This window comes from Homo sapiens, chromosome 11, assembly GCF_000001405.40.
Source record: "Homo sapiens chromosome 11, GRCh38.p14 Primary Assembly".
Taxonomy (NCBI): domain Eukaryota; kingdom Metazoa; phylum Chordata; class Mammalia; order Primates; family Hominidae; genus Homo; species Homo sapiens.
In genome coordinates this window covers 18,698,311-18,726,251 of record NC_000011.10, presented here as the reverse complement: position 1 = coordinate 18,726,251, position 27,941 = coordinate 18,698,311, and the positions used below count along the sequence as shown (strand labels likewise).

Sequence of the window (27,941 nt, the reverse complement as noted above, 5' to 3'; positions counted from 1 at the left end):
CCTGACTAAGGAATCGCCCCCAGGGGGCCAGACATTTAAGGAACAGATGACACTGGTAGCCTCACTGTTGGGGCAAAGGAAGAAGGAGACGGGCCACCCTACAGTCCAGGCACTAGCTGAGCCTCCAAAGCCGTGGACACAGCATTCGAGTGTTGGGAGGGACTGGTCAGTGCTGAAGGTAAGGCTCCCCTCCTCCCTCAGGAAGGGGACAAAGCTGACCACCTTCTGAGCCCAGAGGGGACTATAGGGTAGAGGGCAGGAATAGGAACAGGGGAGTAGTCTCAGAACCCAAAGGTAGAAGCAGCCCAGGCAGAGATATATTAGGGGGTGGAGAGAGGGAATAGAGTTTAACCCCTAACTACCTGGGTTAAAGAAGGCTTTGGAGCCCTCTGGGACGCCACTGGACTGGAGTCAAAAGCTAGGAGTCTAGTCTGAGTGACCTTGGACAGGTCATTTCTTTCAGACATCAGTTTCCTCATATACGAAATAGGACTTTAAAAACTGCAATGCTGGGCCAGGCGCGGTGGCTCACGCCTGTAATCCTAGCACTTTGGGAGGCTGAGGTGGGCGGATCACGAGGTCAGGTATTCGAGACTAGCCTGGCCAACATAGTGAAACGCCATCTGTACTAAAAATACAAAAAATTAGCCGGGTGTGATGGCGGGTGCCTGTAGTCCCAGCTACTCGGGAGCCTGAGGCAGGAGAATTGCTTGAACCTGGGAGGCAGAGGTTGTCGTGGGCCAAGATCGTGCCACTGCACTCCAGCCTGGGCAACAGAGCAAGACTCTGTCTCAAAAAAACAAAAACAAAAAAACTGCAATGCTGGCCACATGCAGTGGCTCACACCTATAATCCCAGCACTTTGGGAGGCCAAGGCAGGCGGATCAATCGAGGCTAGGAGTTTGAGACCAGCCTGGCCAACAAGATGAAACCCTGTCTCTACTGAAAACACAAAAATTAGCTGGGCATGGTGGCACGTGCCTGTAAACCCAGCTGCTGGGGAGGCTGAGGCAGGAGAATGGCTTGAATTCGAGAGGAGGAGGTTGCAATGAGCCGAGATCACCCAAAAAAAACCGCAATGCTGGTTAAATAAAACATTGAGAAAACATGGTGCTCTGAACAGGAATGAGGAAACGCTATCATCTGGTATGGAAAAAATCTCCAAGACACATTAAATGAAAAAAGAAAGGGTCAGAATAGTGTGTATAATGGGCTACCTTATGTGCTTTTTTAATTAAAAAAAAAAAAGGAAGATGATAAGAACACATGAGTTTTCCTATTTGCATGATGGAGGTCTAGAAGGAGCCTAGAGACTGGCTACCTGTTGCAATGGGGAAGGTTGTAAGATAGACGCAGGAGTGGGAGGGAGCCTGTCCATATGGATTTTTATATTGTTTTATTCTTTAACTATGTGATTGAATTACCAGTTCAAAGAAAAATGTAAGAAAAACTAAACCTTTGCCTTTACCATGTCGCAAACACAAGCAGAATTGTAGTGATGTTTTGTCATCTGTTTTAGCATTCCACCAGTGCCGGGGTCCCCAGGGCCCAGGAATAAGAGACACAGCTTCCTTCTAAAGCCCACTCCAGTATGGCTTAGTCAGGAAGTTCTTTCTTAGGTCTGACTGCATTCCCTCCTGATGAAACATCCAGCACTGCCTCCTTAGTGCCATGTAGCTATCAATAGGTATCCTCAACTCCCTCCAGGCCTTACTTGGTTGGCTGGGTAAGTCTAAGCCCTATAACCTCTCCCTCTGAGACCCTGGAATAGTTTGGAGTTACTCAGTGAGAGGACAGGCCTATTGGGTCTGGTAACTAACCAGGAAAAGGAAGCTAGGAAATGAAGAAAAGAGAGCTCGACTGCTCTCCTGGCCCTCTCCTGTGTGCTTCCATCTCCTCTTATGTCTGAACACACACATAACATCTCTGAATCTCCCTCCTACTCCCTGTCTTGTCCTTCATGGCCTCATCCTCTTCCCCAGTCTCACAGGTGAGTGCCCACGCCTGCTGTCACCATGACAACCATTCACAGCCGGCAGATGCTGCAGGAGCACGTGTCCATGGAGTTCTCCAGCTCCACCACCCACGTGCAGACCTTCTCCCAGACAACCAAGATCGTGGGAGGCAAGTGGAATGGGGGCAGGGAAGGGATCGGGAAGGGCAGCTATTCTTCCTCCACACCCATCCCTTGGGTGGCCCCAGTTTTGCCACTAATGGGCCCCTCTGGAGCCCACAATACCAACAGCAACCCCCACCCAACGTGTGCTTCTAATCTTGGCTTTGTTAAAGCTTCAGCCAGCTGGATGTTCAACACAGATCAGATCTCCAGGAAAACAGCTTAGAAAAGATCAATCATGTGGATGTGTGTGAATGATTGATAAACTCTTAATTGCTGAAGGAGATCAGAGCCATAGGTGAACAGATTCTATCTCCAAAGGTAGAATTTCAGGCATAGGGGAAATTAGGAAGGTAGCCACCTTATCTACATATCAGTAATGCTGACCCTGCTCCACTTAAGAAATAGGAGACTTGGGGCTACCAGTGGAGAAAGAAGGTGAACACATAAACAAGAAGGTGACCTTACCTTCCAGGCTTTTAGCCCTCTGGGGCCAGACTTGGAAGAGGGCAGATCCAAGGGAAAGCTGAGAAATGGTCTCAGAGCTGAACAGAGTGTTTTAGTCACGTCTCTAGTGGAAAGAGATTAAAAGATGGCCGGGGGCCAAGACATTGGATACCCCTTCTCACAGTCATTGCCCCTCCCTCAAAGCCTCAAAGGGATAGAGTCCCTCAAAGTCCTCCGTGCACAGAGGTCAAGGCCAGATAAACACTCTATACCAACCAACACCTCCTGGCCAGTGAGGCAGAGCAAGTGGAACAGCTGGGACTCAAGGCCTATGGTCTAGACCAGAAGTTCCAAACTCAAGTGATTTACAGCAGTGATTCTCTGCTGTGGCCGCACATCAGAGTCACCTTAGTGCAGGGGGTGTGAGGAGGGCAAAAATATGGCAGTACCTGAGTCTCACCCCAGACCATTCAATCAGGTATTTCTTATAAAGTTCTCCATGGATTATATATGTGCAGCCAAAGCTGTAGACCACTGACCAACAGGGCCCAGGCAGGGAACATAAATGTGGGGAAAAGACTGGGGTAAACTAGAGACTGTATATCCCATCTAAAGGGGCAGCCACTATTCACCTCCCACTGACTGTTGCCATATGGGAATACAGGTTCAGTGTTGAGAATCCAGAAATCTGAATTTTTATGTGAAATCTTTCTCTTTCAGATGTAGGGCTACTTTTTTGTTTAAACATTGTGGAGGTCACATAAAAGACATCTGCAGGCCAGGTGTCCACTGCACTCTGCCTGTTTGAGACCTCTTGTTAGTATTTAAAAGCAGGCCATGAGAGCTTCTTAACACACTTTTCCCCCTCTGTCAGATTAGTGGGATAATAAAGGCACCTACTTCAGTGGGATGCTGTGAAGATGGAATAAAATCATCTCTGATATGTGCCTAGCACAGTTCCTGACTCAAGGAAAGTGTTCCATGATTCAGAGCAATTGTTGTGAATTGATAACTCACCAGCCAAGAAGATTGTCTGTAGTTTTATACTGCAAAAACAGTTTTTTTTGTTTTCCAAATATAAAATTATATTTCCACATTGAAGATGTGCTTTCAGATAAGGATATTCCCATATATAGCTCCACTGGAGTGGGACTGTGTCGTGTCCTGTCCCTCACTCAAGAATCACTACTCCCAAGGCAATGAATGCTGAACCCACAGAATGGCAGGGAGAAAATCTAGAGCAGAGCTCAGCCAAGCTGCAGACCTCCCAGGCAGAAGCAGGCCTAGCCCCTCTTAATGCTACTGGGGGACCAGGACTTCCAGGAGAGAAGCCTAAGAGACCAAGAAAATTCCAAAAGAGAAGCCTCCTTTAAAAAAAAAAATTAGGACTCAGGGCTGTGGCCCCATAAAGGTAATGGACCACTGAGGTGTGGGAAAGGAGTTCGCCTCCCCTAGTGGTTGAAACTTGCCATAACACAATGGCCCATCGACTCACCCTGCTTTCTCCCCATGTAGCTGGTCCTGCTCCCACTTCCCTAAATGCTCTTTGTTCCCATGCTCCACCGTCCTCTCAAGAAAGCTCTGTCCTCCCATCGCGAGCTGGGCTTCTACCTGGAGCCCATTCTGACCTCTCGCCTGCCCCCACAGAGGAGGTCGTGAGGAGGAAGTCCTCGAGCATAGTGGAGTTCTTCAGCTTAGTGACCCGGAGCTCAAACATCCCTGCGGGCGACAGCGTCCCTGAGTTCGTGGAGAAGCCTCAACCGGTCACCGCGCCCGAGGGTGTGTTGCTGCCTGTGGCTCACCGGGCTCCAGTGCTTCGCTTTCTAATCGAGTGCCCCCACCCTCCGTCCTACCCCAACGACCTCCAATGCTAAACCCTGGCAGAGCCTGGCCGAGGGTTCCTCCCCTGCCCGGGGCCAGGCCCAGGTGTCTGGGAGGAGGCAGAGAGCCGGCAGAGGGTGGCAGAGGCTCTAGCCTGGTGGCTAAGAGGCGAAAACGCGTCCTGTGCTCATCGCAGGGGACAAAGCCGTGTTCCGAGCCCGGGTGCAGGGGAACGCCAAACCCCACATCTCCTGGAAGAGGGAGAGCGGCATCCCCATCAAGGAGTCCGCCAAGATATTCTACGACAGCATTAACAAGGAACACGTGCTGAAGGTGCGGGGGCCAAGCCCAAGTCCAGTTACCGAGAAGGCCAGAGGCAGGGACCCCCAGGGCGGGCCGCCAGTCTTCTCACCGATGAGAGCCTTAACGGCGGCCCGAGAGCCGGGCAGTGGGAAAAGCAGCTGTCATTGCCCGAGAGGCGCGGCAGGATAAGAGAGGCCGAGTCAGGAACCGGGATATTGCCGGAATGAGCAGAGGACCCAAAGTACCCCCGGGGCAGAGCAGAGCAGGGGCAGAGCCAGAACGTGGCGGGGCGGGACGCAATGGAAGCGAAGGGGCGTGTCCACAAGGCGAGTGAGCCAAAAGGAACGCGGGACCAAGACGGTGGGCGTAGCCATGGAGGGCGGGACCATTGTGGGTGGCGAGGTGCCGGAGGGACTCGCCGTAGAGTAGGGGTGAGGGTCAGGGGCTCCGGGCTCTTCAGCTGAACCCTCCCCAAGGACCGACCATCCTTAGGTCTAACCAGCTTCTGGATCACTTTCTGAGAGCTGGGCCTACCCAGCTGTAACCCCTGGCTCCAGGCCCTTCGAGGAAAGGGAGGGATGGATCACGGGGAGATCTAGGCCTATAATTACTTATGATCCTATAATCACTCGGGTCCTGACCCGATTTCCCGTTGTGAAAGGCAAAGAGCCTCCTTTTTTCCCCACAGACAGAAGTAGTCTGCTCCCAAAGACCCATCATCACTGGACCCTAAGCCCCCCACAGCACACACGAGCTGCCCCAGTCCCCCTGATGGCCACCTCTTACACAAGCTCATTCATTCAGCAGACACTTTCTGAGAGCCTTGGCTTCTGAGAGCCTAGCAGGCTTCTGCAAGCACCATGCAGACGGGCATCAAGTCAGCCTTACTCACCACTGTTCCTTCTGGGGCTCAGCCCAGTGTCTGGTACAGAGGAGTAAATTGTATTAAATGAAGTCTCAGCCAGATGATGCCAGAAACTGCAGATAGAGTTACAAGGCAGGGGAAGCCCTGCCTTCTGGGAGCTCACAGCCAAGGGGGAGAGTCCGATGGAGAAGCAGACAGTTTTATTGCTATGGAATCAGGCTACAAACATGCATACTCACACTGACTGCTAGCTGGTACCTCCAAATCATACAGGCTGCTCAATCCTCCACACATATACCCAACAGTCAGTTCCTATTGTCCCCTAAAAAAAAAAAAGGCCTCCTACCTTATCTGACAGAAAGTCTCCCTGTGGTTCCTTTTCCTTCCCCCACTAATGGCCGGACTTTGATCCAGCTGGAGCCACTGACTTCGGATGACTCTGACAACTATAAGTGCATTGCAAGCAATGACCATGCAGATGCCATCTATACCGTATCTCTGCTGGTAACAGAAGGTGAGTTGGCCCCTTCCTCTTGGCCTTTCTTCTTAGGGACCAGACTCCCCCTGTCTGAACCTGTCCCTCTGTCTATCCTCAGGTCAAGAGAAAATGGACTTCAAAAAGATGCTGAAGAAGAGGTGAGGCTGGCAGGTCCTTCTGCCCAAGATATTGTCTCCTCATCCAGGCCAAAGCCTCTCAAAGGCCTCTCAACAAGGCCCTGAGTTCCAAGAATCCATGGAGTAGGGAGGGGTTTCTCAAGGTTGGAGAGGCATTGTGTACAAGCTTAGTCCCTTCCTCCTTCTCCTAGGGCACCCCCTGCTCCCAAGAAGAAGCAGAAGAAGGTGGCAAATGAGAAAGAGATGCTGGAGATTTTGTCCAAAGTGCCCAAGAAAGACTTTGAGAAGGTGTGCATGGAGTATGGTTTCACCGACTTTCGGGGGCTGCTCAGGAAGCTCAAAGAGATGAAGAAGAAAGTAGAGGTGGAGGTAAGTACCCTGCAGGGAGCAGGGGCCTGCAGGCTAGGGGCAGGGCTTCACCCAAAGTGCTAGTGCCTGTGTATTTCTCAGCAAGAAGGTCTCCCCAGTTCTGCACACACATACTCAGAGGCGTACTCTCCACTGTGAAAGCAGCAAGGGAGCACAAGTCACCTTCCTTCTACTTCTGTCTTCACCACTCCCAAACATACTTGCATGGACTTTGGAGTCAGATAGACCGAGATTCAAATCCCAGTTCTAGGCTGGGTGCAGTGGCTCACGCCTGTAATCCCAGCACTCTGGGAGGCCAAGGTGGGTGGATCACCTGAGGTCAGGAGTTTGAGACCAGCCTGGCCAACATGATGAAACCCTGTCTCTACTAAAAATACAAAAAAAACAAAAAAAAACAAAAAAAAACCGCTGGGTGTGGTGGCACACACCTGTAATCCCAGCTACTTGGGAGGCTGAAACAGGAGAATTGCTTGAACCCAGGAGGTGGAGGTTGCGGTGAGCCAAGATCACGCCACTGCACTCCAGCCTGGGTGACAGAGCAAGACTCCGTCTCAAAACAAACAAACAAACAAATCCCAGTTGTACTGCCTTATTAGCTGTGTGAACTTGGGCATCTCTCTGAGCTTCAGTTTCCTCATCTACAAAATGAAAATTATACTTCCTTCTTTCATTTGTTTTTGTGTTGTTGCTGTCATTCATTGGTTCACTCAACCAACTCATTAAGCCTCTACACTGGAATTAGGGAATCTATATAATGGGCCCAGGTACATAGTGACTATTCCATGAATGATGGTTTTTTACTCATCCCCCGTAATGTTCCTCTCCTCCTAAATCTTTCAGTTGATCACTGGAGCACTGCACGTTGTTATCTAATGAGCCTAGTCATTTCTCCCCACATGCTTAAGAGTTTCTCCAGGATTGAGGACACAGTCTGGGCAGGCTTTGGGTACCACTGACACTTGTCATTTTATTATCATAATCTCTCAGGCCATCCGGATTCTGAAGCCCCTGGAAGACAAAGAGACCAAGGTTGACACCACAGTGGTCTTTGACTGCATAATGGAACTGAAAGACCCCAATGTCAAGATGATATGGATCAAGGTGGGGGATGCCTAGCCAGGGTCCACCTTGGCAATATCTCTTCCTCTCTACCCCCTTCTCTCACTGTATATAAGCCATAGCCTCTCTTCCATCCCATCAAGAGGATGCCTCCTGGTATGGTTGAAAGAGGCTGGAATTGGGCTCTACTCTTAACTGTTTCACCCCTTTGTTGTGTGATGTAAGAGAGTCACATTCCTCTCTCTATGCCTCAGTCTACCCATCTTTAAATTGAAAGGCTAGATTAGACAGTCTTGAAGGTCACTGAAGATCTGTGCCTCTAAGGGAAAGCATCTAATGAACTCATGCATATTAAGAGCTCGGGCCTGTGAGGAGGCCTGTGGGGAGGCAGGAATCTTGGATCCCACCAAACCAGATGATGAGGCTATAGAGATCATAGGGATCTCTGTCTTTAGAGGGTTGGACATGCACCCTCCAGCTTAGGCTGGCGCTGGGGAATGGAGACCTCTGGAAGCTTCCTCCTAAAGCCCTTCATCAGCTTTCCTACCTGTTCCATGAGGCAGGGTACTGAGCCACTGAGGATCCAGTACTCCCTGGGCAAGTACGATGTGAAGCAGATGGGCACCAAGTACATGCTGGTTATTAGCAACGTGAACATGAACGATGCTGGCATCTACAGCCTGTCCGTGGGCGATAAGCGGATGAGTGCAGAGCTCACAGTGCTGGGTATGAGTGGGGGCATGCAAGGGCACAAGGAGGACATGTCGGGTTGGAAGAGAGGAATGGCCAGGGTTGGGATCCATGGGGATATTGAAGAGAGGACTATGGGACTGTGCAAGAAAGGATTGTGTGGGGATGGGAGTCAATGGAGGGAGGAAGCATCAGATGTAAGGGAGAGGACTATGAGATAATAAGTGCCTTGGGGCTGTGTAGCATAGTGATTAAGAACATAGACTCTAGGCCAGGCGTGGTGGCTCATACCTGTAATCCCAGCACTTTGGGAGGCTGAGGCAGGAGAACCGTTTGACACCAAAAGTTCAAGACCAACCTGGGCAATATAGTGAAACCCCATCTCTACAAAAATAAATAAATAATTGGCCAGGTATGGTGGCACACACCTGTAGTCCTAGCTACCCAGCACGCTGAGGCTGCAGTGAGCCATGATCCTGCACTTCACTTTAGCCTGGGTGATGAAGCAAGACCCTGTCTCAAAAAATAAGTTAAAAAAAAAGAACGCAGACTCTGGAGCTAAACTACTAGAGGTCAAATCCCGCTTTCTGCCACTTATGAGCTTTGTGATTTAGGTCAAGTTATTTAACTTCTCTTTGATTCAGTTTCCCCATCTACAAAATGGGGAATAATAGAATCTACCTATGTGATAATTGGATGAATTAGTATGGCTAGGATGGTGCCTGGAACATATCTAAAACCACATAAGTGCTTTTAAAATTGCTGTTACCATTACTGGGGAGAAGACCACATGAATATCATAGGAGGGGACTCCAGGAGAGAAGGGCTCGAAAACAAAACCAAAGGCAGGGTGCTTTCCCCCAGCCATGGGCTACAGGAGGCCAGTGACATGTGAGTGCCCTCTTCACCACTCCACCCCTCAGGAGGGACCAGCCCAATGACTACCACTCCTACTGTTTGCTGCAGATGAGCCACTGAAGTTCCTGGGAGAGATGAAGCCTGTGAAGGTGACAGAGCGCCAGACAGCTGTGTTTGAGATCCGCCTCTCCAAGAAAGAGCCCAACTTTGTGTGGAAGTTCAATGGGAAGGAGCTGAAGAGGGATGACAAGTATGAAATCACGGTGTCCGAAGATGGTCTGACGCACACGCTTAAGATTAAGGATGCCAGACTCAGTGACAGCGGCGAGTTCTCTGCTGAGGCGGGGAACCTGGTACAAAAGGCCCAGCTCACTGTTGACCGTGAGTGGTTGGGCAAGAGCCTAAGGGGTGGGCTTTATGGCACAGCAACCTCCATGCAGGTAGTCATCATTTATATATCCATCTATCCATCCATCTCCTTTTTGCAAAGCCCTGTGGTAGGTACTGGAAAGACAGGGGGATCTCCTCTCTGTTAACCCCTAGTCTAGTAGGGGAGGCAGGTATGAAAATGAAATTAGAATAGCAGTTATTATTCCACGAGTCAAGACACACTGGGTCTTATTATCAGCTGTGAGATCATGGACCAAGAAAGTATTAGTCTATGTCTCTAATGTCATATATTACAGCACATCTGTGTCACTCTGGACTACTTACATTCTGCTATCACAACTACTTTGGGAGTTCGCACATAATGTAGGTACACCAATGAGCATGTCACACATCTGAACCGCACCTGGAATCTATATCACATGGAATCATCATTGCTGTGATGGAGGGAGACACAAGGGCTGTAGAAGACCAAAGAAAAGGCATCACCTGGCAACATCAGAAATGATATAATGAAATGATGTCCGAGCTTTACCAAGAACTAAAAGGAGTTCCGCTTTCAAAGAATGAGGGAGAGTAGAGAACATCCCCAGCAGAGGTAATACTGCTTTCAAAGAATGAGGGAGAGTAGAGAACATCCCCAGCAGAGGTAATAGCATGTATAAATGTCCAGACATTAGAAAGACAATGCAGGTATGGTTGGAGCTCCAAGGGGGCATTAGAGATATTGAGCACTGTAAAAGTTCTCACCCCATTTTACATACGAGGAAACTGAGACTCAGAGAGGTAAATGAGTTGTATACAGTCAACTAGCAAGTCAGGGCCAGAGCTGAGACTCTCCCTGTCGGGTACTTCTGTGAGTCACATATTACACACAAACACATTCAGCATCACAAGTTCTTGTGTTTTCTGGGGACAGAAAGAGGGACAGGGCTTTTGGCTCTATAGCTGCAGAAAAAAGATGTCGTGGTTTGGGAGCAGGCCCAAGTGTCTGTCTGTCCACAGGCATCCCCATCAAGTTTGTGAGCAACCTCAAAAATGTACGTGTGAAAGAGAGGAGTCGCGCATGCCTGGAGTGTGAGCTGACATCCAAGGATGTGACACTGCGCTGGAAGAAGGATGGGCAGCTGCTGATGCATGGCACTAAGTACAGCATGAACCATGAGGGCAAGCGAGCAGAGCTGATCATTGAGGATGCACAGCTCAGTGATGGTGGCGAGTACACTGTGGTGGCCATGCAGGATGGAGACCCTACTGAATACTACAGTACTGCCATCGTCACTGTGGAGGGTAACACCCGCCCTATCAATCCCCACTGACCAATCCCCCTGACCCTGGCATTCCCTTACAGTGGACATCAATTGCCCCCCTCCCACTAACTCCAACCCTCCTGTAGACCATGACCAACTTGTGTCTCCCCACTCTGATCACCCTCACCTCCTAAATTCTGACCATCTCTGACCTCTCATGCCCTAAACATTTATACCTCCTAGACACTGATCACCCCCCATCTTCCAGACTCTATCCCAAATTTCCTGACTTCATCCTTCACTTTCAGACTCTAACCATCCCCAGCAACCCTGATATCCCAGACGTCTTGATCCCGACCATCTCCTACTACCTAACCATAAACCACTTTCCGCAGACCCTGGCTACCCTCAACCCCCAATGACATGTATGTATGTATCCCACAGTCTATGTATCCCACAGTCTAGCGTAACCACAACTAAACATCCCAACTCCAGTAACCACCTGCATCTTCACCATCTATTTCCCTCTCCAACCCAGCATCCTAAGTCCCTGCTGACCACGCTCCACTAATCAATTCCCCACTAGCCATCTCCCAGTTTTCCTGGTCACCATTTCCCAAGCCACTGACCTTTCCCCATCCCCCTCCCATGTGTTGCTCCAGTTCCCCCCACTGACCACCCCCTAATCACCTATTGACCACATTGGCAAGCCGCCTGCTCATCATAAATTATTTTGATTGACGCAGCACCCCTGACCAGTCCCATGACCATCGCTACCAGCCCTTTTCCCAGAAGTCCCTCCCACCCCAACATCCTGAGCCAGTCCCTTGCCCACCTTTCTCCCCAGAGCGTCTGGCCACAGTGAAGAGCGGGATGTCCGACGTGCACGCGGCCACTGGGAGCCCAGCTGAGTTGTGTGTAGTGCTGAATGACGAGAAGGTGGAGGGTGTGTGGCTGAAGGATGGCAAGGAGGTCTGAAGCAGAGGCCAGGGAAGGGGGTGAAGGAGGTAGACCTGGCCTATGCTCACACTCAGGCCCACCCCTGACCCCCAGATCACGGACTTGCCAGGCATGCAGATTGTGAAGCAGGGTGCAGTGCACAAGCTCATCTTTCCCAGTATGGGCCCTGAGCACGAGGGCAAGTACACATTCCGGGCCAAGGGCACGGAAAGTGAAGCCTCTGTATTCATCGCAGGTATGGATCTGTCCAAGGTAGGCAAAGCTCAACCATGCCTGGCCCACCTACAAGCTCATGGCTTCTCCCCCGCCCCATGGGCTCCTCCATGCCAATGCTCAAGCCTTCCCTGCCGCCCCGCCCCACAGATCCTCCTACCATCGACCCGTCAGTACTGGAGGCACTGGCTGCGCACGCCATCACTGTGAAGGTAGGCCACACGGCCCACATCAAGGTCCCCTTCCGGGGAAAACCACTGCCCAAAGTGACATGGTACAAGGATGGCATGGAAGTGACGGAGGAGGAACGCGTGTCCATGGAGCGCGGGGAAGACCAGGCACTGCTCACCATCTCCAACTGTGTGCGTGAAGACAGCGGCCTCATCCTGCTCAAGCTCAAGAATGACCACGGCTCAGCCACGGCCACTCTGCACCTTAGTGTGCTGGGTCAGGGCAGGGCCAGTCCGGGCTGGGCTGAGCTGAGGGCACCTGCTGCCCAGACTCAGGGCAGAAGGCAGGCTGAGTAGGAGGCCAGAGTTAGAGTTGAAGTTTGGGCTGGGAATGGGCCTAGAAGGCTGGCTTTGCAGCCAGAAGCCCGCTTCCTAACTTCCCAGCCAGTTCTTGGCCGAGTGAACCTCCCTAAGTCTCAGCTTCTTACCTGGAACAGGGTGATTTTTTTTCTAGTATCCATTTCTAGTTAATTTAAAGTGCACAGCTAAGAACACAGGACATAATATACTTTCAGATGTTACTTAAGTATTGTTATTGACTTGAAGAGGAAAACTTGATAGGAGGTAAGATGGAAATGAGGTGAAAGAGAGGTAGAATTTGCCAGACACGGTGGCTATAGCTCACCTATAGCTCACACCTATAATCCCAGCACTTTGGGGGTCCAAGGCGGGTGGATCACTTAAGGTCAGGAGTTCGAAACCAGCCTGGCCAACATGGCGAAACCCGGTCTCTACTAAAAATACAAAAATTAGCCGAGCGTAGTGGCACATACCTGTAATTCCAGCTACTCGGGAGGCTAAGGCACAAGAATTGCTTGAACCTGGGAGGCAGAGGTTGCAGTGAGCCAGGATCAGGCCACTGCACTCCAGCCTGGGCAACAGAGCAAGACTCTGTCACCAAAAAAAAAAAAAAAAAAGAAACAACAACAAAAAAGAGGTGGGATTTAGGGATGGAGGTGAGGTTGTTTGGAAAGAGTAGTGAGTTTGAAAGTGAAACAGGGTGAGGTGGGAGGTCAGATAGAGCTGGAGATAAAATAAGGTGGGAAAGATGGAATGGGGATTGGGAATGGGATTTGGGATTTGTCTGAACATGAGGATATAAGAAAAGAGAAGAGGAGCTGGCCTGAATGTACTTATATTCAACACGCCACGTACACGCCATCACCACCTCCTCTACCTGCATTTCCATCGAGCTCTGGGATGGGAAAGTTTGAGTTTCAATTCAATTCAGCAGCAAGACTGAGCACCTGCTCTGTGTTCTCACTGCTGTGTACACAGAGATGAAGTATCCCCAGCAGTTCCTCAATCCAAAAGGGGTGAAACTGGTAGACAGACTGTAATTATAACGTAAGGTAAACAGTGGTACCAGCAAGTACTGGTGTTCTCAAAGCTCAGAAGAGGGGGAGAACTTGTTTGGAAGGGGACAGGGAGATCAGCTAAGGGCAGGGGCCCCTAAGGTCTCTAGTCTACCCATTGCTAGGCAGATGGGAAACTCACGGGGGCAAGGATCAAACTCTTTGGGCAAGTCTTAGAAGGAGGGATGGTGGACACAGGGAGGGGCAAAGGATCCAAAAAGCTCAAAATCCAGCTATACCCTAGTCTGGGCAGACCTTTGGTGAGTGGGAGGAGGCCCTTCTGATCCTTTGTTCCAAAGCCCCATTCTGAAGCTGTTCTCTGTCCCCAGACCGTCCAAAGCCTCCACAGGGCCGGGTGGAGTTCCTGGAGCTCTCAGGTAGTTGTGTGCACATGAAGTGGAAGGCCCCAAAGGACAATGGTGGACGACCTGTGACACAGTTCATAGTGGAACGGAGGGCAGTTGGCAAGAAGTCCTGGATTAAGATAGGCGAGGTGGACGGCAAAGTCACCAACTTCTCCACCAACAAGGTGGAAGAGGGAAAAGCCTACCAGTTCCGTATCCTGGCAGTCAATTCAGAAGGTGTGAGTGACCCACTGGAGACAGAAGAAGTGTTTGCAGGAAATCCCATAGGTCAGTGAGATAGCCTGGTGCTCAGTGGGGAACCCAGGGGTCAGCATGGAGACCTTAAGCCAGGAAGGAACACTGATCTGTGGGGAATTCCACAGGAACATCTCTCTGGCTGTCTCATGAGACAGACCGATTCCAGAGTAAAAACAGAACATCATTTTGGGCAGGAATTGTCAACGTTGTCCAGTCATATCACATGCACAACACACTCCCATGGGTATACCCAGGACGTGCACAACTTTGGGGAACTGACTCCACTTCTTTCTCCATCCCAGAAGTCATCCCAGAATCCAAGTGAGCATGATGTTGCTTTAGGGATAACCTTGAAACCACTCTTTTTCTCCACAGAAAATCCTTGACAACATTGGCATTTTAATTATAATTGCAGGCTGGGCACAGTGGCGCACACCTGTAATCCTAGCACTTTGGGAGGCCGAGGTGGGAGGATCACCTGAGGTCAGGAGTTCAGGACTAGCCTGGCCAACATGGTGAAACCCTATCTCTACTAAAAATACAAAAATTAGCTGGGTGTGGTGGCGGGCTCCTGTCATCCTGGCTACTCGGGAGGTTGAGGCAAGAGAATTGCTTGAACCTGGGAGGCAGAGGTTGCAATGAGCCGAGATCATGCCACTGCACTCCAGCCTGGGCAATAGAGTGAGACTTCGTCTCAAAAATAATAATATTATTATTACTGCAAATGAATTACTTGCTATACCTCTCCCAACTGATCTCCAAATCTCCATGTCAGGACAGTAGATTGAGAATGATGGGATTGGGGGTCACACTGTAGGAAAGTTTAAGTCACTGATTCTCAATGTCGGCTATACATTAGAATCACTTGGTTTCTTTAATAATGCTAATAATACTTGCCATTCACACCAGGCATAGAATATGGGTAGGCAGGACCCAGACACTAGTTGTTGTCAGTGGTTTTTTTTTTGTTTTGTTTTCATTTTTGTTTTTACTTCCCACTTGATGTTAATGTGCAAGCAAAGTTAAGAATCATTTGTGCCAGGCACTGTGGCTCATGCCTGTAATCTCAGCACTTCGGAAGGCCAAGACAGGAGGATCACTTGAGCCCAAGAATTCAAGATCATCCTGGGCAACAGAGTGAGACCTTGTCTCTAAAAAAGGAAAAAGAAAAAAGAATCACTGGTTTGAGTTTATTTAAGCAGGCGAGGCAGAAGTCAGCATGAGGTGGGCAAATATCTACATGCTCCCCCTCCTAACCTTTGCACTCTCTCTTTCCCCCACAGAGCCTCCTGGTTTTGCCTCCCAGCCTCAAGTGACTGATGTGACTAAAGAAGCCGTGACCATCACGTGGAATGCCCCTACCCAGGATGGGGGAGCCCCAGTGCTCGGCTACATTGTAGAACGAAGGAAGAAAGGCAGCAACCTGTGGGTGCCAGTCAACAAGGACCCCATCCAGGGTGAGGTCCTTGGAACAGAGGCCCAGGAGTGACCAAAGGAGGTCTTGCTGAGTGGACCCATTAACTACTGACACAGTCCCTCATCCAACTCTTCTGGAAGTTTTAACAACATCCCATGACCTCCTCTTCTATGTCTCTCACTCTTGTTCTCACCCCATGGATGCCTCTGGCCTCACGACCCCTCATCTTCCCATTTCAGGCACCAAGTGCACTGTGGATGGTCTCCTGGAGGACACAGAATATGAATTCCGAGTTATAGCTGTAAATAAGGCAGGCCCTGGACAGCCCAGTGTGCCATCCAGCTCAGTAGTGGCCAAGGATCCTGTTAGTGAGTATGCGGCTGCCAGGTCCTGACACATAATGGAATTAGCCCATTCAAAGTAGAGAAAGAATTTCTTCCCCGGGAAAGTATGACACGAGGTATCACAGTCTCTACACTCTGGAAACTGCCAGCCTCATAGAGGGACAAGATTCACACACAAGAGAAAGCCAGCAAATAAAGATTGAGAGTCAGGGACAGTGAGGAGGTGGGGTGCAAAAACGTTTTTTAAATTTCGTGTATTTCTAGTTAGGTGAGGTAGGAGAGGCATGCTGAGGGTTGAGTAAGGGTGTGAGGTAGATGGTTGGAGGGTGTTGCATTTAGGAAGCAAGGTGAAGGTACTGCCTGGAAGTGGATGTGGTGGAGATGGTTGGGTTAAAGGCTGGGGTTTTGAATACAGAAGCTTTGAATATGTGGGGTATGTTGAATTTAAGGGGTATTGAGTTTAAGGATGAAAGTGTTAAAACAGTAAGATAACTGAATTTGAATTTGGAGGTTGAGTGTATAAGGCTAGGTACTAAGGGTGTTAACTGAGGGATCTGGAGCTAGAAGTAGTGAAGGATGGGGTTCAGGAGTATTGAGTGTGGGAAGTGAGCAAGGCATTGAGTGGAGATGAGTTGGAGGGGCTGACTACATGTCTGTTCTACCCCAGAACCCCCAGGCCTGGTCCAGGACCTGCATGTATCTGATTCCTCCAACTCCAGCATTTCCCTGGCCTGGCGGGAGCCTGCAGAGGGAGACCCACCCTCTGGCTACATCCTTGAGATGAGGGCTGAAGACACAAAGGAGTGGTCCAAGTGCACAAAGATCCCCATCTCAGGCACCTGCTACACAGTGGGAGGACTCATCGAGAGGCAGAAATACTTCTTCCGAATCCGGGCTGTGAATGAGGCTGGGGTTGGGGAGCCTGTGGAGCTAGACAAGGGGGTCCGTGCCATGCCACCACCAGGTGAGGACACAGAGAGGGCTGGGGATTCATGCCCAACATTGTACCTCCAAACCTTCTCCTCTGGGGCCTCATCCCACAGGAAAATTGGATGATGCTAGGATCATGAAAAAGTCATCCATAGTTGTTGTGCCTGGACAAAGTTAGGGGTAACTTCAGGGGCACCCCTACTAAATCAATCATTGTGTGCCAAATAGCATCTACTGTGTGTCAAGGTGTAACCACCCAATGGGTTCTTCTTGCGCATTGTACACGCAAAACCAGTTCACTGAGACCACAGCATTGCAACAAAGAGTTTAATGGACACAAGGCCAGCCATGCTGTATGGGAGACAGAGTTATTACCCAAATCAATTCCCCGAAAATTCAAAGTCCAGGGAGCCTGCTTCTGACTGGGGCCTCAGGACTTGTGGGGTGGAGGGAGAGCAGGTCCAGGTGGAGCCATCAGTCGTCAGAAATGCAAAAACCTGAAAAGACATCTCAACCACCAATCTTAGGCTCTACAATAGTGATGTTATTTGCAGGAGCAGCTGGGGAGTTGCAAATCTTGTGATCTCTGGAATAATGGCTGGTAATCTTTTATGTCTACACCTTAGCAGAATTCAGGCTCCTCACATCCTCCTAACCTGGTGGCCTTTCATTAGCTTCGCAAAGGTGATTTAGTTTGGGGGAAGACTGTTATCATCTAAGCTATAAACTAAATGTCTCTCCCAACATTAGCTTGGTCTGAAACCAGGAATGATTAAGGGCAGTTTGGAGGGTAAAGGCAAGATGGGGGTTGGTTAGATCAGATCTCGTTCACTGTCATAATTTTCTCGCTGTTATAATTGTTGCAATGGCAATTTCAAAAGGAGGTGTTAGGGTTATAGAAACAAGACACAAGGACTTGCCTTCCAGGGTCTTGCGTACTAGTAGAAGGAGACAGATGAGAAAACAAATAAATGCTTCACAGGGTTGCAGGGCAGCTAGATGTCTGTATGGCCTGTAGTGGGGGCATAAAGGAGGAGAGGTTGGGAAGGCTTTGATGAGGAGGCTTAAAGCAGAGTCTTCTTGAAAGACAGATCCATGCCTCCACCTCTGTCTCCTCCATCTCAGCTGCACCCAAGTTTGACCTCAGTGCCCGGCTGAAGAGTCACATGGTGGTTCGCGCTGGGACAGCCCTCTGCATCCATGCAGCCTTCTCTGTGAGTTGTCCCTGACCCTGACCTCCATACACTGTCCACATAACCAAGATGGCTATTGTAGCCATCACAGTCTCTGACTCTGACTCTGACTCTGCCCCTCACCAGACCCCTAGTGCGACAGCCTGGCAGGAAACTCCTCGACAATGGAGGAAGGCCTGCCCCCAAATATCATCTGTGTGACCAGTTGTGCCATCTCCTGTCACTACTCAGGGCTCACCACCACCTGACGTGATCTGGCAGAAAGATGGCGTTCCCACCAAGGGCCGAGAGACAATTACCAAGAGCAAAAACCACTCCCAGTTCCTCATTAATAGCACCAAGCGCTCTGACTCAGGGGTGTACCGAATCTTGCTTCAGAATGAGTTTGGAGAAGCACGCTATGACATCCATGTGCGCGTGGCAGGTATGGAGAGAAGGCAGAGGCCTCCAAGACCCATCCCTGTACACTCTCCAAAGCACAGCTCCCCAGTGCCGCTTGAGTTCCTACCACAGGAAAGTCATGCCTTAGGGCCATGAAGATTTCTTTGACACCACAGAGCAAGACTTTATCATACAGAGTATGGTCGGCAGAGAGAGTAGAAATGGGTGGAGGGGCAGGAGGGACAAATGGAGATGAATCCATTAAAAATTGGGGTGACTGCTTAAAGAGAGCTGGAAGCTTTAAAATAAAGCTCTAAACCCCCAAGGAAGGAATGGATTCATTTTTACTGAACAGTAACTACATGCCAGTCTCTTTACCCACTATTTCTACGAAATAGTCATTGTCAGCTCTATTTTGCAATTGAGGAAAGAAGTCTCAGATAAGTAACTTACCCCAGGTCACGAGGCTAGTAAATGGCAGAGCAGACTTCAGAAATAGTTTTCCGACTCCAAGACACCAGCTGCCTGAGACTTGCCCCATCTTATCTTCCATCGGACTTGGCAGATGGCTGGGGTGGGGACATAATACTTCAGGTGCCCCAAGGTCGCTGACAGATCTTCCAACTCTTCCAGATTTCCCTCGGCCCCCCACAAACCTACGGTTGTTTGAGGAAGTCCCCAACACAGTGACTCTGACCTGGAACCACAGCCCAGATGTGCAGGAGGACGGTGAGGCTCACTACATCATCATGAAGCGGGATGCAAGCACAGCCACCTGGTACACGGCAGCCGAGCGTGTCTTCAGCAACAAGTACACAGTGACGGGGCTGCTCCCAGGCAGGAAGTACTACTTCAGAGTGGTGGCTCGGAATGAAATCGGTGACAGTGAGCCACTTGACTCCAGGGACACCTGGCTCATCAATAAGGACCAGAGTGAGTCTGGGACTTGCAGTTAGGGTTAAGTCTGGGTGCCCTGATGGTGGGGATGACATAAGGGTCCCAAAGGGTACCCAAGAGGCAAGATAAAATCTGAAAACCATTGAGATAGAACGGTTAATATCTGGGACGCTGCGGAGAGAAGGAAATATTGGCTTTCTTCGGGGTACTTAGGGGTGAGACTAAAGTGGAGGTGGGGAGGTACCTTTGGGGGCAGAGAGGACGGTGGAGGGGCTGCGGAGGGACATAGAGCGCAAACGCGTTCTGCTCTGAGGGGAGGGTCTAACGGGGCTGAGAACAGGGGAGGGCTCTAGGGAGCCGGGAGGATGTCTGGGATCCCTGGAGGCTAGGGGTTAAGGGTGGGGGCCGCGTCGGGAAACTCGAACTGAGGAGCTAAAGGGATAAGAGGGGAGACTGTGGTCGCTGATATGACGTAGGGGAAGCTTGGAGGCGGAGTTAAAGGCTGGGAATAACCGGGTCCAGGAAGCTGGCGCTGGAATGACATCTCGGCCCCAGGGGTGTGGGAAAGCGTGGTTTGGGTGGCAGAACCCTGGAGTGGCTGGGGACGGGGCTGGGGGGTCGGGGGAGGCCTGGGGGCGGGTGGGGAGCCCTTAAGAACCAGTGTAACATTGGGCCCCCAGAGTTGGTGGCGCTGGGAATGTGGCCTAGGTCCTCGGGGTTCCGTGTAAGCTGAACTGTAAGACGTGGGTGGTGGGTGGGGGCCTTGGGGCGCCCTCACGGCCTGCCCCGCCCCGCCCGCGCAGTCCAGGACCTGAGCGCCAAGCTCAAGCCCTACGAGAAGAAGGACTGGCGCCACGCGCCGCGCTTCGTGACGCCCCTCAAGCCACACACGGTGCTCCGCGGCCAGGACTGCACCATGACCTGCGCCTTCCTTGGGAACCCGCGGCCCACAGTGACCCTCTACAAGGGCGACGTCAACATCACGGCCAACTCCAAGTTCTGGTACAACTCCACCAGCGGCGTGTGCACCCTCGTCATCCCCACCTGCACGCTCAAGGACAGCGGCGATTACAGCGTGCTGGTGGAGAACGAGCTGGGCAAGGACCGCAGCAGCTGCACGCTCACCGTCTATGGTGAGGGCGCCGCGGGGTCCGGCCTCGAGGAGGGGGAGAGGCGCAAAAGGCTGGTCTTGTGGGCCATTGGTCAACTATTTGGCTGGCACCGTTTTTTAATCTGACTGCCAACAGGTGGTGCAAACATTCTTAATTGGCCACAGTTCTTACCACTCTCCCATCCTTTCGATGTCATTTGTTATATGCCTGGCCCCTGCAGACATGAGAGTTCTCAATCCCTAGATAAGATGTGGTTTGCAACTCTTGGTGAGCCTAGACCTGCCTTCAGAAAAAAGATACTGGTGATCAGGACTCAACCAGACTCACCAATCACGATCTCTCTGGCACGGTTCTGGAAATAACCTATATGTTTACAAAATTTTGCGGGTGATTCTGATGTGCAATAAAAATTAAAACTGGTCTAGGATAAGGACCGGTGGGGGGCACAAACAAGGGAAGGAGCGAAGGGAACCCTCCCTTTTGTACATGCATGCCATGTTTCTACTCATGTGTGCACACATAGGGGGAAGCATTTTATTCCTTCCCAGTCTACTGTCTTCATAGCCACACAGCTAGCAGCATGAACTCTAAATGCAAAGCTGGCCTGCCTTGCTTTCTGTTGCTTAAATTTCCCCCAGCTTTCCTCTCATGGTAAAATCCCAAACCAAGAAGGTTTCCCCCTCCCCCACCTCTCATCTCACCTTCTGCTACTCCTGAACCTTCCATGACACTCCATTGCTGTGGTCTCCATGGTTACAGACCTTTTTTATCCAGTTATAGATACCTTTCTTTGGGGAAAGGACCTTGTCCTGTTGCTCTGTCTCTCGAGTGCTTAGCTAAGTGTCTGGCACTGAGACAATATCTCCAGAGAGGCTGCTGAGCTGTGTAAAAGAACTAGGCCAGGGAAGGCACTGTGGGTGCTATCCAGCTTTCATTCCACAGCTAAAGAGATCCCTGATAACTCAAATCTGCTTGTAAGCACAGCAAATGGGCCCAGGGCCCTGGCTCTGCCACTGACCAGCCATGTGACCTTAGTAAGCTACCTCATTGAGCCTGTTTTCTCATCTTCTTTATAGGACTATGAGGCTTAAATGAGACAGTACACAACTGCCTGGCACAATGTCTGGCAAATATTAAGTGCTAGATAAATGGCAGCTCTTGCCCCTTCACACTCTGCCAACCCAAGATTAAGGGTCCCAGGGTCCAGCTCCTGGTTTCCTGCATAGGAAGTCCAGCAGTTTGGAATTTCCCTGGTCGCCAGCATCATTAATATAACGAATACTTCCTTTGCTCTTTCAGACAAAGATGATAAGTCAGTTGTAGCATCCATCACCGAGAGTCTGCAGAAGAAATCAAAGCACCTCATGTGAGCTCCAGCCAAGCCCAGGCATCAGGAGGCTGTTATGATGTGGAGTTTCTTGGCCTGTCCTCTGCATGGCCCAGTGTAGGAAGCCCAGTTTGCTCTCTGGTGTTTGTTAATGTAAACATTCAGTGAAGGGATGGGGCAATAAACGTAACTCATCCTTTCCCGTTCCTGAGGGTGATATACAGCAGGGACCAAGGGGATGGATGTGATTGCATGATAGGGAATCCCAGACCTGGACCCCTGAAAGCCTAGTCCAAACCCACCCACAAGGCAGTGACCAGCCTTCTTGTGACTGGGCCTGGTCTTCCCTTCCCCTCCTCCACATCTACATGGCACTTTCCCCCTCCCCTCAGAGCTTGGGGGCAAGTCCTGCTGACTTCATCCTGCTCTCCATCCTGCTCCCTCCCATTTCTTCACACTAGGTAGGTCTGTGTTCAGAGTTCTGAAGTTTGAAAGGATCAAGATCTTCCCTCTTTAGTGTCCAGGGTTCAGAGCTAGAAGGGATTGATCATCCAGCTCACTAAGTTTCAAACTTACGTTTTTCAGTGGAATCCTTCCAAAACAAAACAAAACAAAAAAAAACACAACCTAAGAAGCTACTGGACTTGAAATAAGGATAGGAGGTCTTTGAGCCTGCCTTCTCTCATTATTCCTTCACTACCCCCTTACCAGGAATCTCTGTAAAAACTAATTTGGAAATCACTGACTCATCCAACCACCCCTGAGACTTGAGTCTCCTAAATCACATCCCCACAAATGAGCAACACCTCTACTGATGGCATATCCACCACCACCCAAGGCTTCCCTTTCTACTTCTGGGTTAGGGCATTGTCTGTTAAGTTACAAATGCTCCTGGAGCAGAGTGATGTATTATTCTGCCAGGGCTTTACAACTAATGAATGAATCAGCCAATCTAATCCCATTGCTCCCAGCTGTTCAACTAAGCCCAGAGTCCAGGATGAGGGAGATGCTTGAAGGGAATCTGGATCATTTTGAAGGAAGCAGCAGGTCTCAAGTGGGGAGGGGAGGAGGTGGGCAGCAATAGATGACACTGGGTAACTAAAGGTCACCAAGGGTGCTGGGCACCTGTGCACAGGGGAGTACATCAAGGACAAATTTGGACAGTGGCAAATACCACTCATCCCCCATCCTCCTAAACCACATCCTCACCCACACCAGGGAAGTGAGACACACTCCAACCGGCACAGTGTCACCAGAGCCAGGTAGCCAGCCTGGCACCAAGATGCACTGCCCAGGACTGTGACTAGGCTGTGAGGACAGCCAGAGCCTCTGGCACCATGCCCCCATGCCCTCTCCAAGATAGGCATGTGCCACACAGGCCCACAAGCAGGGCAGCCAATGGCTCTTGATTTTTATTATTTTTCACATGGGCAGCAGAAGATGGAGTTGTCCCATCCTTGCTCCCCTTGCATTGAATGTGCCTTGGGTCTTAAAACCCCGGAGTGTCATTGGAGCCCCCTCCTCTTGCTCCTAGTGTAGGAGGGACAAGGAGGAAAGCACTGTGAGTATGTGTGTTGGAGGGGAGGGGTCCCAGCTCCCTGAGCCAGGCTCAGCACCCCTCAGCAGCTCCCTGAGGCCCTCTCTCTGTGAGACTTTTGACAGACAGCAGGACAGAAACATATAGCAGAGAAAGACATAGGCAGACTAGGAGACAGGCTACACACACACACAGAGAAGCTGGCCCCTTCCTTTGGCATGGTTCACCCTAGCCCTGGGGATAGGATCTAAGGGTAGCGTATGGGACCTGAGCTTTGGGCTTGCCCGAGAGAGAGATGGGGCTACTTGAATTCTTGAGACCCCAAACTCCGAGACCAAAGAAGTTCTCTCTCCTGCCTAACCTGGACCCACACCTCTTCATGTCCCCACCCACCACTTAGAGACTGAGATTGTTCAAGTAACAAGGATAGAAGAGGGAAAAGAAACGGAGGCTCCACTCTCATCCAGTCTTCCCAACTAGGGGCCTGTGAAAGGGGCTCCTGGGTCTGAGTCTTCTCAGCACAGATTCTCCCGTTTCCCTCAACTTTGTGCAGATGAAAAAGGGGAGGAGTGGGTGAACCCAGCACTGCCATTGGTCCTAGGCATAACACATGGAGTCAGACTCTTCCACCTGGTAGGGGAAGTGGGTGGGGGGGTGTCAAGAAGCTGAGCACCATCACCTTCCAGGGGGGTTTTGAAAGTCCTGATAGGGTAGAGGTGGGGAGATGTCTACTTCTGGCTCCAGTCTGATATTAGGCTGGCTCTTTTAGCTCTCAGCATTGTCCTGAACCACGAGTTCTGCTAGGGAGATCCTTTTCCAGCCTCCCCACACGAACTTGCAAATTCCTCAGGCAGTACCTGCTGCCCCAGGCTGGCACTGCAGCCATCCTGATCCAGCTCCTGCAGGTCCCCAGGATCTGGGCCCCAGCCCCAGGAGGAGAGAGGGGTGACCAGACCCTGGCACCTCAGTTGGCCTTGGTCAGTCTGTAGTGTTCCACAGGCTCCCGGCTTTCGACAGCTGACAAGGCGACGAGCATCTGGGCCACATAGTAGGTGGACATGATAAGCGCCCGAGAGTAGGGCACAGGAAAACAGAATTTGTTGAGGGCGATGGTCAGGTCTGAGATGATAAAGAAGAGTGCACCACTGCCAGCTGCCAGCTCTGTCCAGCGCCAGTCTGCCCCGGCCAGCCGCAGCCCTGCCATAGCTCGCCAGCCCATGAAGCCGATAAGGGCCACATAGACCCCCACCAGGTAGGTGAAGGCACCTGAGAGGCATGGGTAGAGGAGGGCATAGCACAGGCCCGACAGCGCTGCCATCACCAGACCTGTCCGAAGAGCCAGTGGCTGCATGCCAAAGGCCGAGGCGTAGAACATGTGGGTCACAGCAAACATCAGCAGACCTGGGGGTAAGAGGGGCAAAGGCAGCTGAGGGCAAGCTTGATGAAGAATGAGTAACAGGGTGGGGGTAGGGATGGATGTGGCGATGGAGTGGAGTGTTTGGGATAACCCAGCAGCTTTGCTTTGGGATAACAGGGGTAGGAAGATCTAAAGTTAAAGACCACCACCCCAGTCCCCTGAAGGACTCTGGAACTGATCACTAGTTCCCCTGCGAGGTCATCCCCTAACAAGGACCCTCACAGTCCCTGGCCTCAGAAACCCTCAGGCTCCCCACACTCTGGTTCAAGAACTCCCTCTTCCAAATCTTTGCCCACAGCCCAGGACCCTCTATCCCCCAGCCCCAGGACTCCTCCCAGGCAACTACTATGGCCACTGACCATGCACGAAGTATCCTTGGTCCTGCCAGATGAGGAAGGCGTCACCTACAGCAGAGAAGACAAGCCCCACAAAGATGCGGGTGGCGCTGGGGTGGGCCAGCAGGAATCCCAGGCCATGGGCCAGAAGGAAGAGCCAGAGGCAGAAGATAGGCAGGCACTTGATGAGGGTGCTGACCCACGATGGGCTAGATGAGGGCAGCCAGAGCACAAAATACACGCAGGTGGCCTTGAAGAACGGCACCAGTTTGGGTCCTTCACTCTTCACCTGGAGGACACAGGACAAGGGCAGCACTCAGAACTTGGGGGTTGAAAGCCAGCACCCTCAGCCTAGGCATCCACCCCAGAGACACTCCCATCCATACCCCCACCTCACTTCCACCCCCAACCTGAGAAGACTGACACAGAGAAACCCAGCCTGGCCTGCCTCTACCAGCCAGCAGGTTGTGGCCAAACCCATTACTGCCCTGAGGCTCAGTATATTAGGAGGGGCACCCTTCTGCAGCCTAGTGTGCTTCTCCCTTCCTGCCCCCTCCTTCTCCCTCCTCAGGGCCCCTTTAGCCCCTCCTCTCTGCCAGCAACAGCCCCCAGCTGTTCACTCTGGAATGGAGTGAAGTCAGTGGGAAACCACAGAGACACCCTGACTGGCCAACTCGTGATCCTCAGCATGGGGCCAGGGTGCAGCCTTAGGGCCCTGGCAACACCAGGTGTGTGCCAGGAATGTGGGAAAGCAGGCAATGGCAATCACCTCAGCCACCACAGCCTCTCTCCTCCTCAACCAGTCTGTTCCTCAGCCTCCACTCCACCTGCCCCAGCCTGAAGGTGGCATCAAGGGCAAGGAGGGCTATGCTAGGGATGCTGGCTAGATAAATGGACCCATGAGTTGGGAGCAAGAAAATTGTCCTTCAAACACCAAAGATTTCAAGGATTGGGGGAAGGGAGGGTGTGTGTCAGTCAGCCTCATTTCCCAGAGAACAAGAGCAACTCAAGCCACACCAGAAAGAGGCAGGAAAGGGGGGAGAGGTTCTATTCCCAGCTTCTGATCTGGAGCCAGCAGACAGGCTGGGAGATGGGGAACTGAGAGGGGGAAGTTAGAGCAGCTGACTTGGTCTCAGCCGGATTAGCAGAGGGCAGCTAAAGAAAGGTTGTACCCAAGGCCACTGCAGGCAGAGTCCAAGCTGGGGGAGGGGGCTGCAGCGATGTTCTGAATCTGTGATCCTTGAAACTCCTTTCCTTGGGCTGCTAACAGATCCATTGAGGGTGATATGGAGCAGCTGGAGTTCCCTGTACACCCACACTCTGCCCAAAGCGATTGTGTCTCTGGCTAGGTGAGCTGCCCAGCACAGGACTTGGGAAACACTCAGAGTCCAGACGACCAGGTACCTAAGGACTGATCAGACTGTGATGAGGAGGATTGGGAAGAGGCGGATGGGTGGTTCCAGGGTCCAAGCCTTTCCTTGTTCTGCCAGAGGTAAGAGCAGTGAGAAGAGATGACTTCCACTTCCCATGGAAATTAAGGCTGGTCAGGGTAGGGGCATGGTCAGAGGAGGCGGCTGGAGGGGATGCCCAGGCCCACAATGCCCAGCAACCACCTGCCAGCCCCTGGGAGCATTAACCTCCGCTCCATGGCCTCTCCCAGCCCCATATTTTCTAGAAGGAGATACTGGCAGTAGCTGGAGAGACCCTGACAGTTATAGGGAACCCAGTAGTAGAATAAGGAGGATGGGGAGACGAAACAAAAGGTTCAAGTTGAGAAAGTCTGAAAAGCAGGGGATGTCATAGAGAATGCCCCCTTTTCCCCCAGCGCGTTATCAGCGCTTCTTAGACTCAGGGGCGTCCGCCAACTTGTTTACAAAATGAGGAAGGTTAGGAAACAAACTTGGGACGGCATTCCCAGGAGGTCCCTGTTATCCTCCCAGCATCCCCCGCCCCCACGCCTCCCTGTGGTCCGCCTACGCGGAACTCTGCGGCCGGCAGCGGTCCCCTCCCTCTCCCGGGCCGCGACCCCGCCGACCCGCGCCAAATACATGGAGATCAACAAAGTCACGCTTCCGAGTCACGTGGCCAGTGTTTTCCTCCCTCCGCGGGCGGGCTGGGGGCGCGCGAGGAGGGGCGCCGCGAGTCTGAGGAGCGGGGGGCGGTGACAGCGCCCGCCTCCCGCCGCGGGACTCCGGCCGCCACGGGACCCCCGCCCCGCCTCGGCCCCTTCGGCAGCTCGGCCTGCCGAAGTCCGGTGGCCAGGCCGGTGGGCTCCAGCCGCGCCGGGCACTGGCTCGCTCGCTCGCTCACTCACCACAGTGACCGGGGACACCATGGCGGCGGCGGCGGCGGCTGGCACCCTGCTCCGGGCTGCAGCGGCCAGGACGCGCCCACGGCCAGGTAAGCCGGCGACGATTCTACAAAGCCCGGAGGGACGGACAATACCTCCCGAGCGCCCGGCGCCGGGGTTCTGTCAGCTAGCCCCGTGACGTCACCGCTGCCAGGGCCAATGAGCGGGCGGGAGCCGGGGGGGCGGGGCCCGGCTGGCGGCGCCGGCCAGGCCCCCGGCTGCTGCTCGGAGAAAGGAGGCATCTCCCAGGGGTCAGAAGGCGGATACCCCCCAGGCCCCGCCCCCTTGGGAGGCCGTGCCAAGGCGTCCACGGAACGTGAACGTGACCGTGACCCCGGTGCCTGGGTGAGGACTGAGCTTGGCTGAGAGACAAACACATTGCTGTCCTGGACGCACAGCCACATACATTTTCTCATAACCCGGGAGCAAAAGGCAAAGACAGATTCCCTTAAGCCTTTAAACATGCAGTCCACGCCGATACGATTGCAATTGGACTCACAACCTTCACTGTGTACAAACACACATCCAAATCATCAGCAAACACACAACCTTCGACTTGAA

The 27,941-nt window shown here is 51.8% G+C and overlaps 2 protein-coding genes and 1 long non-coding RNA gene across 5 annotated transcripts in view, besides 3 other annotated features; 1 reads left to right on the top strand and 2 right to left on the bottom strand.

The window, feature by feature from the left end:
- IGSF22-AS1 (IGSF22 antisense RNA 1) overlaps positions 1-19,771 on the bottom strand; it is a 35,407-nt gene extending 15,636 nt beyond the window's left edge. Inside the window, exons 1-2 of the long non-coding RNA NR_186353.1 lie at positions 19,103-19,771; positions 18,859-18,974 (exon numbers count right to left, since the gene is read on the bottom strand). This is a non-coding gene — a long non-coding RNA (IGSF22 antisense RNA 1). The remainder of the gene's footprint in view (positions 1-18,858; positions 18,975-19,102) is intronic.
- On the top strand, positions 64-21,940 carry IGSF22 (immunoglobulin superfamily member 22). Of its 3 annotated transcripts, NM_173588.4 has the most exons (23): positions 64-178; positions 1,983-2,124; positions 4,211-4,342; positions 4,581-4,717; positions 5,967-6,066; positions 6,149-6,188; positions 6,359-6,536; positions 7,524-7,637; positions 8,159-8,321; positions 9,252-9,524; positions 10,536-10,820; positions 11,628-11,752; positions 11,834-11,975; positions 12,104-12,400; positions 13,868-14,170; positions 15,424-15,597; positions 15,797-15,925; positions 16,569-16,865; positions 17,957-18,045; positions 18,256-18,448; positions 19,039-19,338; positions 20,106-20,435; positions 21,714-21,940. In NM_173588.4, the coding sequence occupies exons 2-23, from the start codon at positions 2,016-2,018 to the stop codon at positions 21,782-21,784; spliced, it is 3,981 nt and encodes a 1,326-aa protein (NP_775859.4). In that variant the 5' UTR covers positions 64-178; positions 1,983-2,015; the 3' UTR covers positions 21,785-21,940. The 3 variants fall into 3 exon arrangements, 2 of the variants coding, with proteins under 2 accessions (NP_775859.4, XP_047282786.1); NR_160413.1 differs by lacking the exons at positions 13,868-14,170; positions 17,957-18,045; XM_047426830.1 differs by lacking the exons at positions 64-178; positions 1,983-2,124; positions 4,211-4,342; ... (8 more) ...; positions 11,628-11,752; positions 13,868-14,170 and having other exon boundaries at positions 11,784-11,975.
- Positions 4,432-4,621: an enhancer, noted in NCBI's record as "active region_4508". NCBI's record gives its function as "activates an Ori minimal core promoter by ATAC-STARR-seq in GM12878 lymphoblastoid cells {active_cell/tissue: GM12878}" and the evidence as "EXISTENCE:reporter gene assay evidence [ECO:0000049][PMID:35858748]".
- Positions 21,467-27,473, bottom strand: TMEM86A (transmembrane protein 86A). Its single transcript, NM_153347.3, has 3 exons — positions 27,345-27,473; positions 25,055-25,319; positions 21,467-24,679 (listed from the first exon to the last, which is right to left on the bottom strand). The coding sequence occupies exons 1-3, from the start codon at positions 27,363-27,365 to the stop codon at positions 24,243-24,245; spliced, it is 723 nt and encodes a 240-aa protein (NP_699178.1). The 5' UTR covers positions 27,366-27,473; the 3' UTR covers positions 21,467-24,242.
- Positions 27,265-27,766: an enhancer, noted in NCBI's record as "H3K27ac hESC enhancer chr11:18720033-18720534 (GRCh37/hg19 assembly coordinates)". NCBI's record gives its function as "activates a minimal SCP1, AML or CMV promoter by ChIP-STARR-seq in primed H9 embryonic stem cells {active_cell/tissue: H9 hESC(primed)}" and the evidence as "EXISTENCE:reporter gene assay evidence [ECO:0000049][PMID:30033119]".
- Positions 27,362-27,671: a silencer, noted in NCBI's record as "silent region_3193". NCBI's record gives its function as "represses an Ori minimal core promoter by ATAC-STARR-seq in GM12878 lymphoblastoid cells {active_cell/tissue: GM12878}" and the evidence as "EXISTENCE:reporter gene assay evidence [ECO:0000049][PMID:35858748]".